Here is a 13,217-nt window from a genome sequence, read left to right as displayed (position 1 = left end):
GGCTTCATTTGATAATGACATTGCTGTCATGCCATCTCTGCCTGGTGGTGTTTATGGGGGAGAGCTTTCTCTCCCTTGGCTTCTTGTGAGAGGCATCCGTCACACTTCCCCACCCTCGCATTCAAACTCCTTAGGGGGAGGAGGAGTGATCTAAATTGTGATTATGGGATGAGGGGCTGTCAAAGTGTGGTCAGTACTGGCCTCTTATTTTGGGGGGTCTACTCATCATTCCTGTTTGCTCCTTCATACTGTAAGTTTTTCAGGGGCAGGCTGCAATCAGGAGGCCTGAAGTTGCTTAGCACTGCCTGTGGCTGGGCAGGTAAGCTCTGTTTGAGGTTTAGGATTAGGAAGCCATATTTTTCATTATTAACTTTATCAGTAATAAAGCCAGTATTTGAATGCCCATCTGCTTTTTCTTCTCTATTTCTCAGTGGTTCCAAACTCAGATGGGAAAAAAGTAATGCTATTTATTTGGCCTGTCTCAAATCCCTACACAATTTTCCTCGTTTGCCAGCAGATCTTGCTTGTCCATATTGGACTGAAGTCTTCCTGGTTTTCTATTAATTAATATTCCATTTCTTAACAACTTTATTTTAATATTCTACCCACGGATGATTACGAATTATTTATTAGAAATGGCAATTATTTGAAAATGATTTTAAAAGAGAAGTTTTCCTCCTCATTAGCAATATCTCACTGTCTAAGATTACGAGAAACAGTTATACCTTAGGGCAGTGTTTTCCAAACAATAAGTCAAAACTCATTCAGCCATAATAACAGTTTAATGGGTCATGACAGCACTTTAAAACAATAAAATAGAATAGAAACTATGAGACTATATCACACACAGAGGATTATTTAATGAATTTTTTGCTCTAGTTGTATTTGTGTTGAGTGTGTGTGTGTGTCTCAGTGGGGGGGGGTATTGGGTAACAACATAAAAAATATTTTGTGGCAAAAACAAGCTAGTGATTTTCCAATGAACTCACAAATAAGCAACATCCCACTGCCTCTTTTATTCTTAGGAATGGTTGTATGCTCGAGTTTTAATTAACAGCATCCCAGTGACAGTGATGAATGTCCCTTCTAGATCTGGTTCATAAAAATCTGCCACACAGTTCTCTACTCTCCTTCTCTCCTCTGATATACCACCTGGAGTCTAAATACTGAGCCCAGAACAACTCTGGAAACTATATGTTGAAGATGGCCGTCTTCATCAATATGAATCTCTGAATGGTTGTGTGGAACAAACCCCTTTACCACCTCCCCTCCTCACCCCCAGCACCAATGGAACCCTATGAGAACAGGAAAAGACTTCTAATATGGTAAGCTACTCAGATTTGGGGGTAGAGAGGGTTACCTACTACAGCAGATAGTGTTACCTTAACAAATAAATAATTCTTAGTATTCTTGTAAAAGCCACTGTGCACTCTTTAATTATTCAGGACCCCGGACAGTGACACAATAGTACCCCATCACCCACTCCCATGGACTAGGACTGTCAGGGTAAGCCTGCAAATTCTTGTAATGTATGGCAAGCCAGACTGATATCTCTCTTCACATGTCGCCTTACTGACACCAAGGCCATCATATTTATTGAGTGGGAGGAATATAAGTACCTTTGGTTGGAGTTTTCACAGTCAGATGAAAAGTGAGAAGACCACATTAAGTTGGGAGCCAGCATAAACAAAAACGTGAGATCAAGGGAACTAAGTGCACTTGGCTATAGTGAGCCCATTCATATTACTGGAGCACAAAGTTTCCATGCTGTATAAGGTAGCTATCACATTTCATGGATGAGGAAGCTAAAGTGTGGAGAGGTCGAATCATTTACCTGAGATTTCACCAGGTCATGGCAGAGCCACAGTTGAACCTAGACAGCTTGAAGTTGTAGTCCCGGCTGCTAGCCATAATGCCCTAGATGGCTCATCTATTGTTAATGGCCTCAGCAGCATGCCGGATATTAGAAACAGTTGGCTTTCGATTACCAAGATATGGGGGCTGCTACTGGAATTCAGACACTGGTATAAATTCCAACTTTACAGTAATATATGTCTTTATTAAACTTAACTAGTTCATAATGCATACTTAGGAGGGAACACGGCATGGGGCAGGAGTAATAAACACTTTCTAGAAGAAGGCCCTCTTCTTCAAATGAAACCTCAGGCAAAAGCCCAATGTTTAACACAAACAGAAGCAGAGATGCCCTGGTTGGAGTAGAGATAGGGAGCCTGGGGCCCCATGCTGCTAGACAGCCACTCATACTAACCCTCCTCATGTTACCCAAGGCCTTTGTGGCACACAATTTAAAAACCACCAGTACAGAGGATAGAACATGAACACTTGGGTTAGACAAGCCTACCTGCTTGCTTGCTTGCTTCATCTTATTTACTCATTCATGTATTCACTGCTCAATAAATATTTATTGAAGACCATGTGCTGGGTGCACTGGTTTGAATCCTGGACCCACAGCTAATTAGCTGTATGACTTTAGCATCTTTCTTAGTCACATTGGGTTTTATTTGCTTTCTTTGAAAATATACCATACATAGTGATAACTGCCTCACAGACCTTCAGGATCACAAGAGAGAGCGGTGGCATATGTGGTATTCAGGGAGCTCCTGGCCCTTAGTGAATGCTCTCAGTGAATATTTGTTCCTTCTTCACTTCCTATGCTGATCTTCAAAGTATGATGTAATTCCGAGAAAAGTCATTTTAAAAATATATCTAGTACACACACTCACACAAACACAGAAACATTTTTAAAACAGCTCTACATGTTCCCATTCCTTGTGGTATACTTTGTTTCAAACCTGTATGCAACTTTCAAAGTCTTCTTTGTTCCCCTCTCACCTTCAGCTTAATACCATTTCTCAATTCCTGTTCTTGGACACAGCAAGAAACCGCCCTTCCTACCAATCTTCTCATTTTCTCAGTGTGAGCTTCCCCAACTCATTCTCTCAGAATCTTCTCCAGATTAGCTGATCCCAGCTTCTCTGTTAGCATCTACTGAGCCACCCTTACTTAAAACAAAAAAAGCAATTTCCAGAGATTGAAAAAAAAATTACTTTTCTTTCCAGAACATCCAGCATCTTCCAGTTATCAGAGGATTTCACCCTCATTTCTTCTGGGTAAAAATGTGTTTCTTCAGTGCTGGTAGAAGACTAAACTTGGCCTGGCTTTGCAAATGGCCATTAATGAGGGGGGTTAGTACTAAACAGACTTTCAACAGTTTCCCAAGGAATAGGAATTTTCAACTAGCAACCACTATCGGATTTTTAAACTTATATCATTCAAGTCAGCAAAGAAAACTATGCATTTCAAGTTTTCTCTAAGGTCAAACATTTCATTCATTAGACAGACCATATAATGGCCATGAATGGAGGCTCCAAATCCCAGCTCTCTCTCATATTAGCTGTGTGAAAAACTAGCATTTTAATAGTGCCTGTTTCATCATACTCTTATAAAGTATAGTTACAATCATTTTAAATGGTTATTACATTGCTTCACATACAAAAAACACTGAATATATGTTATCTATTATTGTCATTGTCATTATTTTAAAATAGTGTTCTGAAGAGTGTTTTCAGAGCTCTGGTAGTGGATGAGTAAACCTCAGGCAAATTATAAGAAATAAAACATTTTCCAGGGTCTATGTAGGAGAGAGAAAAATGAAAAAGACAAAGTCTTTACAGATTCCTTTAGCTCTCATCATGAAGCAGAAGATTGTATTCACATCCTTGGATCTTTTCCTGCCCTCTCTCTAGCGATATGGTAGGCATACAATCATGATTGTAGAATAAGTGAAAGAGAATGGATGGAGGAATGAATGAATAAATGAATGGATGGGTAAGCAAATGAACAAACAAGCAGATCACTGGTAATGGAATAAACTAAGCAGTCATGTTCCTTTCCATAATCTTTGATGTTCATAATCTTTGAAGTATGATGATGTTTATCATACTTCACCTAAATACACAGGTCTGATGTACTCCATTCTCTTTCAAATGAAGAATCCTGTTGGTCACTATATGTTGTCCCTCACCTTCCACCCACACAAACCAAAAATAGGGTTCTTGGCTTCCAGCTGTGCTTTCTGGGCTTCTTTGTGATTTTTCCTGGCATCCTCTTGGTCTGCTCCATCCTTGGCCTCTGCTTTCCAGGAAGACACAGCAGGAGCCCACGTGTCTGATATAGAAAAAAGCAGTCCTAGCACTGTCCTGGGAAGAAACAAAGACAGTGCTGTGAGAAACACATATTCACCCATCCAAACCCAAAGAATGGACTCCGAGACATGAAGAGTAGCCGAAGTGAGACTTTTGATGGGGGTCTTGCAAGATCGGGTGTCTGGTAGACAGGTACACCCTGGGCAGTTACAGCAGGTAATTTACCTCCTAGCATGCAAATCCCTCCCCCAGTTCCTCATTGGTCAAGTACTATGGGGTTACAATCTTCCTGGACGTCGCCTAAGTTTAATCATCCCCCTTATAAGGTTATACCCTGGTCCCCTTCCTGCTTAAGCTTTGATTTCCCAATAACGAAACTTTCTTCCCTTTTATGGGCTGACCCCTCCTCTACATTCTGTTTACATATCGTGACCTTCTAGATGCATGCATGCTGTTTGTTACATCTGCAGGCTGGCTGCCAGTACTTAGATTTATCATGCCTTGAAAATTGACCATTTAAAATGTTTTCTCACAGGGCCTTGTGGCTCTGCTTTTCAGAAAGACTGGAGGACACTCATAGTCACAGGAAGACTAGGATATTCATGGGTAGCAGGCCTGAATTTTCTGGCAAGAACCCTTGGACTAAGGTTTCAAAAGGGAGAGAATTTCCATGTGAGGCTGTAGAGTGTTAGCATATCTGCTGGATATTTCTCTTGTGTATTGACTCAGGTAAGCCCCATTTTTCTAACATGGCAGTGACATGATGCACAATTTTCTAGTGGGATGAGACAGTGTACAGGATATAATTTCAGAATCTATCAGAGTGACCTGATACAGGGGCTTCCTTTAAGTTTTCCTAATGCACTGGAAGTGGAAAGGGGCAATGCTTGCAATTTGGTCAGATCGAGGTAGACAGTAACAATGCAGTTGAGCATAGAACAGAGTGAATTCAAATTGTAGCAATTGTAACAACCTATGGCTATACTTAAGTATCTTATTTCTTTCAGCTGCCAAAGACGAAGTGATAACTTAGCACAAGGTGTGAAAAAAGAGGAGTTGTCAATAACTATATATCAAAGTGCTATGTCAACTGTTGAGTGCTTCACTGTTGTGTTAATTTAATGGCATTTATTTTTATTTATACAAAATTTTTCAATGATGAAAATCTAGTATGTAGAGTTACCTACGTGACTGACAAGCCCAGTCAAAGTTACTTTGACACACTGACTCCCACAGCATAAGAGGGATCAATGTAAAGTCCTATCCTTAGATCCAAAGATCAATTGCACAAATGAGGCAATAAATTACAGCTATTTGGAGAGCTGTCTTAGGCTGAATCTGGGTTTGAATATCACTTCCACCACTTATAGTATTGAGCAAACTATTAGACCTCTATGAGCCTCAGTTTCTTCATCTGTAATATTTGGTCAATTATACTAGCCTTGAAGAATTATTTAAGGATTCTGTAAATTAACTCTTATTAAGTGCCTGGAACTTTAGTAAATGGTCAATTATTTATCATCCCTCCCTCTACCCTACACTGGGCAGAGGATCCTCTAGGACATCCCAAGCAGAGGGCCTCCGGAGCTCCGAGAGAGGTCACACTCTTGTTTTTCAATCTCTATATCAAAGACAAGGTGAAGGGAAGCAGGAGCCTGTCTCATCTCCATTTCAGGATGTGTTTTGTTTCACTTCCCCCTAATAATTACCTGACGTAGGATTTTGACGCTTGGCCATTGTTCGGCCTATTTTCTGTTTCCATCCTGATTCTTTACCTCTCTCTCCACAATATTCTTCCTGATGTGACTTGGTATTTACTGGGGACAATATTCTTCCTGATATCTCCTTGGTATTTGTCTCTCCTTGGGGAGAAAGTTGAGATAAGGTAATCAGCCCTTAGGACTAACGCTAATATTGCTTTAGTGATTCCTTGCAATAAGGTTGTTAAGCTTGTTTTAATGTTACCCTTTAATAACTTCCTCTCCTGTAGCAAAAAGAAGCAAAAAATGATGCTGGTGGCAGTGGAGAGGGTGTGAGTTGTCAGGAAGAAAGAAAAAAAAGAAAATAGAATTGTAGCATAGGTATAGTAGATATGGAATTCTGTAATTTCTATAAGTGCAATGATAGAAAATATAGGCAATTTAAATCCACAAACAACTATAGCTTGAATTACATTTTTCTCTATAAAACTTTTACTCAGACCACATAAAAGGGTTCATCATAGATATGTATTCCAAAGAATGCATGTAGTGAGGCACTGTATGGCACAGGGGGAAGTATGGGGGATTGAAAATTGAAGGCTTTAGTTCCAGCTGTGGCTTTGCCATTGACTATCTGTGTGACCTCAGGTAATTTACTCTCTCTGGGCCTCAGACTTCTCATCTGTAAATTAGCAATAGTATTACCTAACTGTCAGTGTGTGAGGATTAAATGAGAGAATGTGTACAAATTTCCTGGCACTGTGAACAGACCCCTTTATGGGTCCTAGTACCTTTATTAATAAATTCAGGATAATGCAACCTGCCTTGAGGACCTCAGTGCTTCTAAAAATGAGGACTGGCTTTGAAATAGCCCTACAAATGTAAAGTGTTCTTGGGTTCAACACAGGAAGGTCAGCTGACTCATAGCCCGTAATCAGCAAATGTCTAATGAGAGTAATGATGAGATGGCAGAATCTGGAGAGCTTTTGAATTGGTATCCCTGAGAAGTGTGAGCTTTGTAAAGAGTTCCCTAGTACCTTTGCTGATGTCTGCTTCATTTGAATTTACATTTAGGTGATCGCAAAACCTCAAAGTGAAGTTGTGAGCTTGACAATAGTTTATCGTGCTATGCTTAACCAAGTTAAGAACCATCCTTTTGGTTTCTGATTTTGTGGAAAAAGAGGAAGCACCATGGATCTGCAGAGGCTTGGGCCTGAGGCTCCAGCATGAGAAACATGGGCATAAATGGCATAGAAATTAAATTTTGAGGCCTGGGGATCCCATAGTGTCAGGGAGAAGGCTAGACTTGTACCTGTGCTTACACCTGGCACAAAGTTGGTACTGAATGAATATTTGTGCCACGAAAGAAAAAAAGAAAGCAAAATCTGAGCTAACGAGGATGCAGTGCACTCTCCAAGAAATCAGTAGAGCTGAGTTTCATGAATTTTATAATTTTATAAATACTGTATTTAAAAATAACTAGATCTAGAGCATGGCCAACCAATTTGGCAATTTTATTTATAATAATGGCCACAGTTTATTAAACACTATGTAAAAGTCCAGCACTATACTAAGAACTTTACAAATATTATTAAATTTAATACTACAACCCTGTGTCAAACCAAACCCCTATTGGTTACCCACAATTTAGCCATAACCTACCTCTTACTTGGTAACAAAAGCCTGATTTTTTTTTTCTGAGCTGCAATGTTCCCAACCCAGGATATGAATTCTGGTTGGTCTAAACCAATAATGATAACAATTCCCCAATCTCCCAGCTCTTTTCTAAAGAATTGTCATATGCCCTGTTTCTGGCTAACAGGAAGTCTAGTACAGAGACCACAGAGAATCCTTCTATCTTCTTGATAAAAGGAAAGATATGGTTTCTTTGAATATAAATGTGATATCTGGAGCTACATCAGCCATTCTGCAAACATGAGGCAATAAGAATGAGGCAAAGGTCAAAAGAACTGGGAGATAGCATTGAGGTACTAATTCAACACAGTTAGCCACCATTTGCAGAGCTCTCGTTAAGTGAGAGAAACTATACTTCTTTCTGTTTAAGCCACTGAAGTCATATTGCTTTACTTGGAACCAAATGATGCAAACTCTGTGTTATAGAATACTATCATTCTCATCTTTAGATAGAAAAATAGATTTAAGTAAGTAGCCAACATTACACAAGTGGTAAATTGTGGTATTAAATTCAAGTCTAGCTTTATCCAAATTTAAAGCCTATCTTCTCAACCACTATGCTGTGTTTAAACTATCAGTATTGTTAATCTAATGTATGTTTTTGAACCCCTGTGAATTCTAAAAGATAGAAAAATGTAGGGCAGCAGAAAAAGAGGAAAAAGCAAGTTCCCACAGACTTTGCTGTGGAGTTTGGGCCTTTTCGAATCTGGAATGCTGATCTCCAGGAAGAGGCTGGAATGGTCCTGCAGACTTGGTTGGTATCACATTTGGAAGTTTCTCCAGCAGCAGAAGGAAACAGGGGGTGCCCACATGGTATCATATTTGGAAGTTCCTCCAGCAGCAGAAGGAGAGAGGGGGTGCCCACATGGGGTGAGGTCAGAGAGTCAGCAACTAGGATTGAGGTTTTGGGGTGCAGGCTTTGCTGGCTTGGTGAGGAAATATGAAGCAATGCTGGAGAGCTAGCCACGGAGCTAGATAGAGACTCAGCCTTAATAATGACTTAATGGGCATTGGCCGTGTGCCTGTGTCTCCTGCACATAGTTAGGAAGCATGGCAACTCAGAAAAGATGCAGCAGGAGCCAGGGAATGCCAGTCGCTTGTAGCATGCTTATCACGTAAGCAGAAAGAAGGGAGGATCTGCCTGAAAAACATACTCAAAGATGCATATCTAGGGGCAAGACACTTTGGGTCTGCCTAACGGTTATGGAAAACAACTGAATCTTGCACTCCCAGGATTTTCCAAAGAAGGGTAATGATACATTCACTCAACCCTAAGTCTACTGCACTGGAAAACAAAAATGAATAGGTTTCTGTACAATGTGCCAAATGTTGAATTGGACACTTTATGTATCTTATTTAATTTTTACTACAACCCAGGAAGGTAATTGTGTTAATATTCTTAAGTTGTCAATTTTTAAAAAATTGAACCACAGGGACATTAAGTAACTTTTCCAGGATGCACAGCTAGAAAATGACGCGGTTGGAATTCCAGCCTAAGTCTGTTTTGAAAGCCCAGGCTGCACCACACCAACTCCAAGGAAGCTCAGAGTAGAAGGAAACAGATGACGTATGTTTCTTCTATACTACAGAGAGAAGGCAATTAATATGTAATCCCAACACTTTGGGAGGCTGAGGCAGGAGGATCACTTAAGGCCAGGAGTTCGAGACCAGCCTAAGCAACATAGCAAGATCCCATCTCTACAAAGAATAAAAAAAATTAACTGGGCATGGTTATGTGAGCCTGTAGTCCCAGCTCCTAGGGAAGCTGAGATGAGATGATTGCTTGAGCCCAGGAGTTTGAGGCTGCAGTGAGCCATGATCATGCCATTGCCCTCCAGCTTGGGTGACAGAATGAGACCCTTTTCAAAAAAAAGAAAAAAGAATTCAGGAGCTCAGTTTGCAAATGTTGAGTGAGTGGTATCAGCAAGATATTCAGACAAAGGTATCCAAGAAACTCTTTTTATAAGAATTTGGGTATTGGCCAGGAACCACAGGCTGAAATACTAACATGGTTGTCATCAGTATAGAGAATTATTGATTCTAATAGGGTAACAGAGGTTTAAAGGTGAGAATATCTATTGAGAGGAGAAGTGGGCTGTATTAATGAGTTTACTAATGTGGATGCTATTATATCTCAGTGAACCACACTTCCCAGTATTCATGCTCTTGTGAAGTTTTTCCCTTTGCACGTGGCCTGGCCCTGTGACCTGCTTTAAGCAATAAAATGCTGAGACTGTGATACTCTGAAAGTCTAGGACTAACCCTTAACAAAGGCCAGCAGCTCTACTTCGGTGCTCAGGCTCTGAGGGAAGCCAGCTGTTATTCAAGAAATCTGAACATCCTGTGAAAAGTCCAACCCAGTCATGTGAAAAGGCCATACAGACAACTAAGGCTGTCCTTAGAGAGCCTAACATTAAGATAGACTAACATTCTATCTTTCAGTTCCTATCATTCTTAGCTCTGCTGGTCAACAGACACAGCTGTGTTCCTCGTCAACAAACAGCAACAACTGCCTGCCATGTGAGTGAGAACTTCTTGGGATTTGATCTTCCAGCCCCCATTGAGCCATGCCAGTCGATGCAATCGATGTAGGGCAGAGATGAGTTCACTCCACTAAGCTCTGCTCAAATTTCAGAATCACGAGCAGATAACTAGAATGGTGGTATTTTTTAAGCCATTAAGTTTCAGAGTTCAACATACAGGAATAAATACCCAAAACAAGTATGTACCTTGACTGATATGTATATGAGCCTGTTTATCTCCATAGATACATGCTTGCCTGAGGCTATTATTTTTTCCTTTTGAAGACTCTCTTAGAAACAGAACCAGAAGATAATTGGAGATTCAGGAAGATGAAACCTCTCAAAAGCTGTGATCAGTTTGTTTTATATTTTAAAATATAGCCTGTTATTTATAGGTCATGGTTTAGCATCCTGATGTTCCCTTTCAAAGTGCTAACATCTAAAAATATGTATTTTGTAGGAAATGAAATTATATGTATCAGTTTCATTAATGTTCACATCCTTTAGTTTCCAGGGGAATTATGAAGAATTTTTAAAAGAAGCAAAGAAATCAAAACAAGACTTTCAAAGGAGCAAGGGGCTTAACCTGCCTCCATTTACAAGATCTTTCACTGAACTTCTATGTGTGTGACTCACATTTTGTTGTATTTGACTAACATTCTATCTTTCAGTTCCTATAATTCTTTCAGTTCACCTGGCAACCTGAAATATTTATTATGTCTCATCGTATCAGTCATGTTTAATTATATAGCAGTATGGCCTCAGTGAAATGAGGCCATACTCATTTCACTGATATGTGAAATGAGTATCCTCAGACATGATACAGCCTGACTTCCAATTCTGGTTTGACCTAATCTCCTTACCACGAAACTAAGAAAATGTTCTCTGAACCGCATTGCTGTTAGATGGGGGAAAAAATATTGTCAGGCTGCACGTGGTTGCCCCTGCCTGTAAGCTATGATTGCACTACTGCACTTCAGCCTGAATGACAGAGCAAGACCTAGTTTCTTAAAAAACAAGAAAGTATTGCCTAGAGATACATTTTCAAAACCATAGCCACTATCTGTAGGCAGCTACTAAGAATGTGAAATGTGACTCCTCTGAATTGAGATGCTCTGTAAGTGTAAAATACACACTTGATTTCAAAGATTTAGTATGAAAAAGATAAAATAATAATTTTTATATTAATTATATGTTGATATAATTTGGATATATTAGATTAAATGAAATATATTAGAATTAATTTCAGTGGGGCATGGTGGCTCCTGCCTGTAATCTCAGTGAGTTGGGAGGCTGAGACAGGAGGATCACTTGAGCCCAGGAGTTTGAGGCTGCAGTGAACTATGATCACACCACTGCACTCCAGCTTGGGCAAAAGAGCAAGGCCCTATCTCTAAAACAAATAAATAAATAAAATTAATCTTATCTGTTTCTTCTTTTACTTTTTTAATGTGGCTATTAGAAAATTTAAAATTACATATGTGGTTCACCTTTGTGGCTCACATTATATTTGTACTGGATAATACTAGTCTAGAGCACTAGGCTAAAGGTACAAATAGAGATGCAGAATTATACATTCAGGCTGATACTACTACAAAAATATCAGGAGATTTCACATTAACTGACCCCCTTATTGTGGCCTGACAATCTTCGTGACTTCACTTAGAATAATGGTCTCCAACTCCATCCAGGTTGCTGTGAATTCCATTATTTCATTACTTTTTACAACTGAGTAGTATTCCATGGTATGTATGTATGGGTATATACGTACCACATTTTCCTTATCCACTTGTTAATTGATTGGCATTTAGGTTGGTTCCATATTTTTGCAGTTGTGAATTGCAGTTATGAATTTTGCAGTTGTGAAACATGCCTGGGCAAGGGTCTTCTTCATATAATGACTTCTTTTCCTCGGGGTAGATACCCAGTAGTGGGATTGCTGGATCAAATTGTAGTTCTACTTTTAGTCCTTTAAAGAATCTCCATACTGTTTTCCATAGTGGTTGTACTAGTTTACACTCCCACCAGCAGTGTAAGTGTTCCCTTTTTCACCACATGCATGCCAACATCTGTTTTTTTGTTGTTGTTTGTTTGTTTTTGTTTTTTTAATTATACTTTAAGTTCTGGGATACATGTGCAGAACGTGCAGGTTTGTTACACAGTGATACACATGCCATGGTGGTTTGCTGCACCCATCAACCCATCACCTACATTAGGTATTTCTCCTAATGCTATCCCTCCCCAGCCCCTCACCCCCTGACAGACCATGGTGTGTGATGTTCCACTCACACATGTCCATGTGTTCTTATTGTTCAACTCCTACTATGAATGAGAACGTGTGGTGTTTGGTTTTCTGTTCCTGTGTTAGTTTGCTGAGAATGATGGTTTCCAGCTTCTTCCATGTCCCTGCAAAGGACATGAACTCATCCTTTTTTATGGCTACATAATATTCTATGGTGTATATGTGCCACGTTTTCTTTATCAAGTCTATCATTGATGGGCATTTGGGTTGGTTCCAAGTCTTTGCTATTGTGAATAGTACTGCAATAAACATATGTGTGCATGTCTTTATAGTAGAATGATTTATAATCCTTAGAGTATCTACCCAGGAATGGGGTTGCTGGGTCAAATGGTATTTCTGGTTCTAGATCCTTCAGAAATTGCCACACTGTCTTCCACAATGGTTGAACTAATTTACACTCCCACCAACAGTGTAAAGCATTCCTATTTCTCCACATCCTCTCCAGCATCTGTTGTTTCCTGACTTTTGAGTGATCGCCATTCTAACTGGCGTGAGATGGTATCTCATTGTGGTTTTGATTTGCATGTCTCTAATGACCAGTAATGATGAGCTTTTTTTCATATGTTTGCTGGCTGCATAAATGTCTTCTTCTGAGATGTGTCTGTTCATATCCTTCATGTACTTTTTGATGGGGTTGTTTTTTTCTCGTACATTTGTTTAAGTTCCTTGTAGATTCTGGATATTAGCCCTTTGTAAGATGGATAGATTGCAAAAATTTTCTCCCATTCTGTAGGCTGCCTGTTCACTCTGATAATAGTTTCTTTTGCTGTGCAGAAGCTCTTTAGTTTAATTAGATCTCATTTGTCAATTTTGGCTTTTGTTGCCATTGCTT

At 39.6% G+C, this 13,217-nt stretch overlaps 1 long non-coding RNA gene across 2 annotated transcripts in view, besides 1 other annotated feature; it reads right to left on the bottom strand.

Annotated features, from left to right (window-relative positions):
• Positions 1-763: 763 nt before the first annotated feature.
• LOC105369435 (uncharacterized) overlaps positions 764-13,217 on the bottom strand; it is an 84,813-nt gene continuing 72,359 nt past the window's right edge. For both annotated transcript variants that reach the window (XR_947901.3, XR_947903.3), the window contains exons 4-5: positions 5,876-6,028; positions 764-4,220 (exon numbers count right to left, since the gene is read on the bottom strand). This is a non-coding gene — a long non-coding RNA (uncharacterized LOC105369435). The remainder of the gene's footprint in view (positions 4,221-5,875; positions 6,029-13,217) is intronic.
• Positions 3,919-5,118: an enhancer, noted in NCBI's record as "CDK7 strongly-dependent group 2 enhancer chr11:94011033-94012232 (GRCh37/hg19 assembly coordinates)". NCBI's record gives its function as "activates an origin of replication core promoter dependent on BRD2, BRD4, P300/CBP, MED14 and CDK7 cofactors, with strong dependence on CDK7, by STARR-seq in HCT116 cells {active_cell/tissue: HCT116}" and the evidence as "EXISTENCE:reporter gene assay evidence [ECO:0000049][PMID:35650434]".

The sequence above is a fragment of the Homo sapiens genome, chromosome 11 (genome assembly GCF_000001405.40).
Source record: "Homo sapiens chromosome 11, GRCh38.p14 Primary Assembly".
Classification (NCBI taxonomy): domain Eukaryota; kingdom Metazoa; phylum Chordata; class Mammalia; order Primates; family Hominidae; genus Homo; species Homo sapiens.
This window is presented reverse-complemented; position numbering and strand designations above follow the sequence as displayed.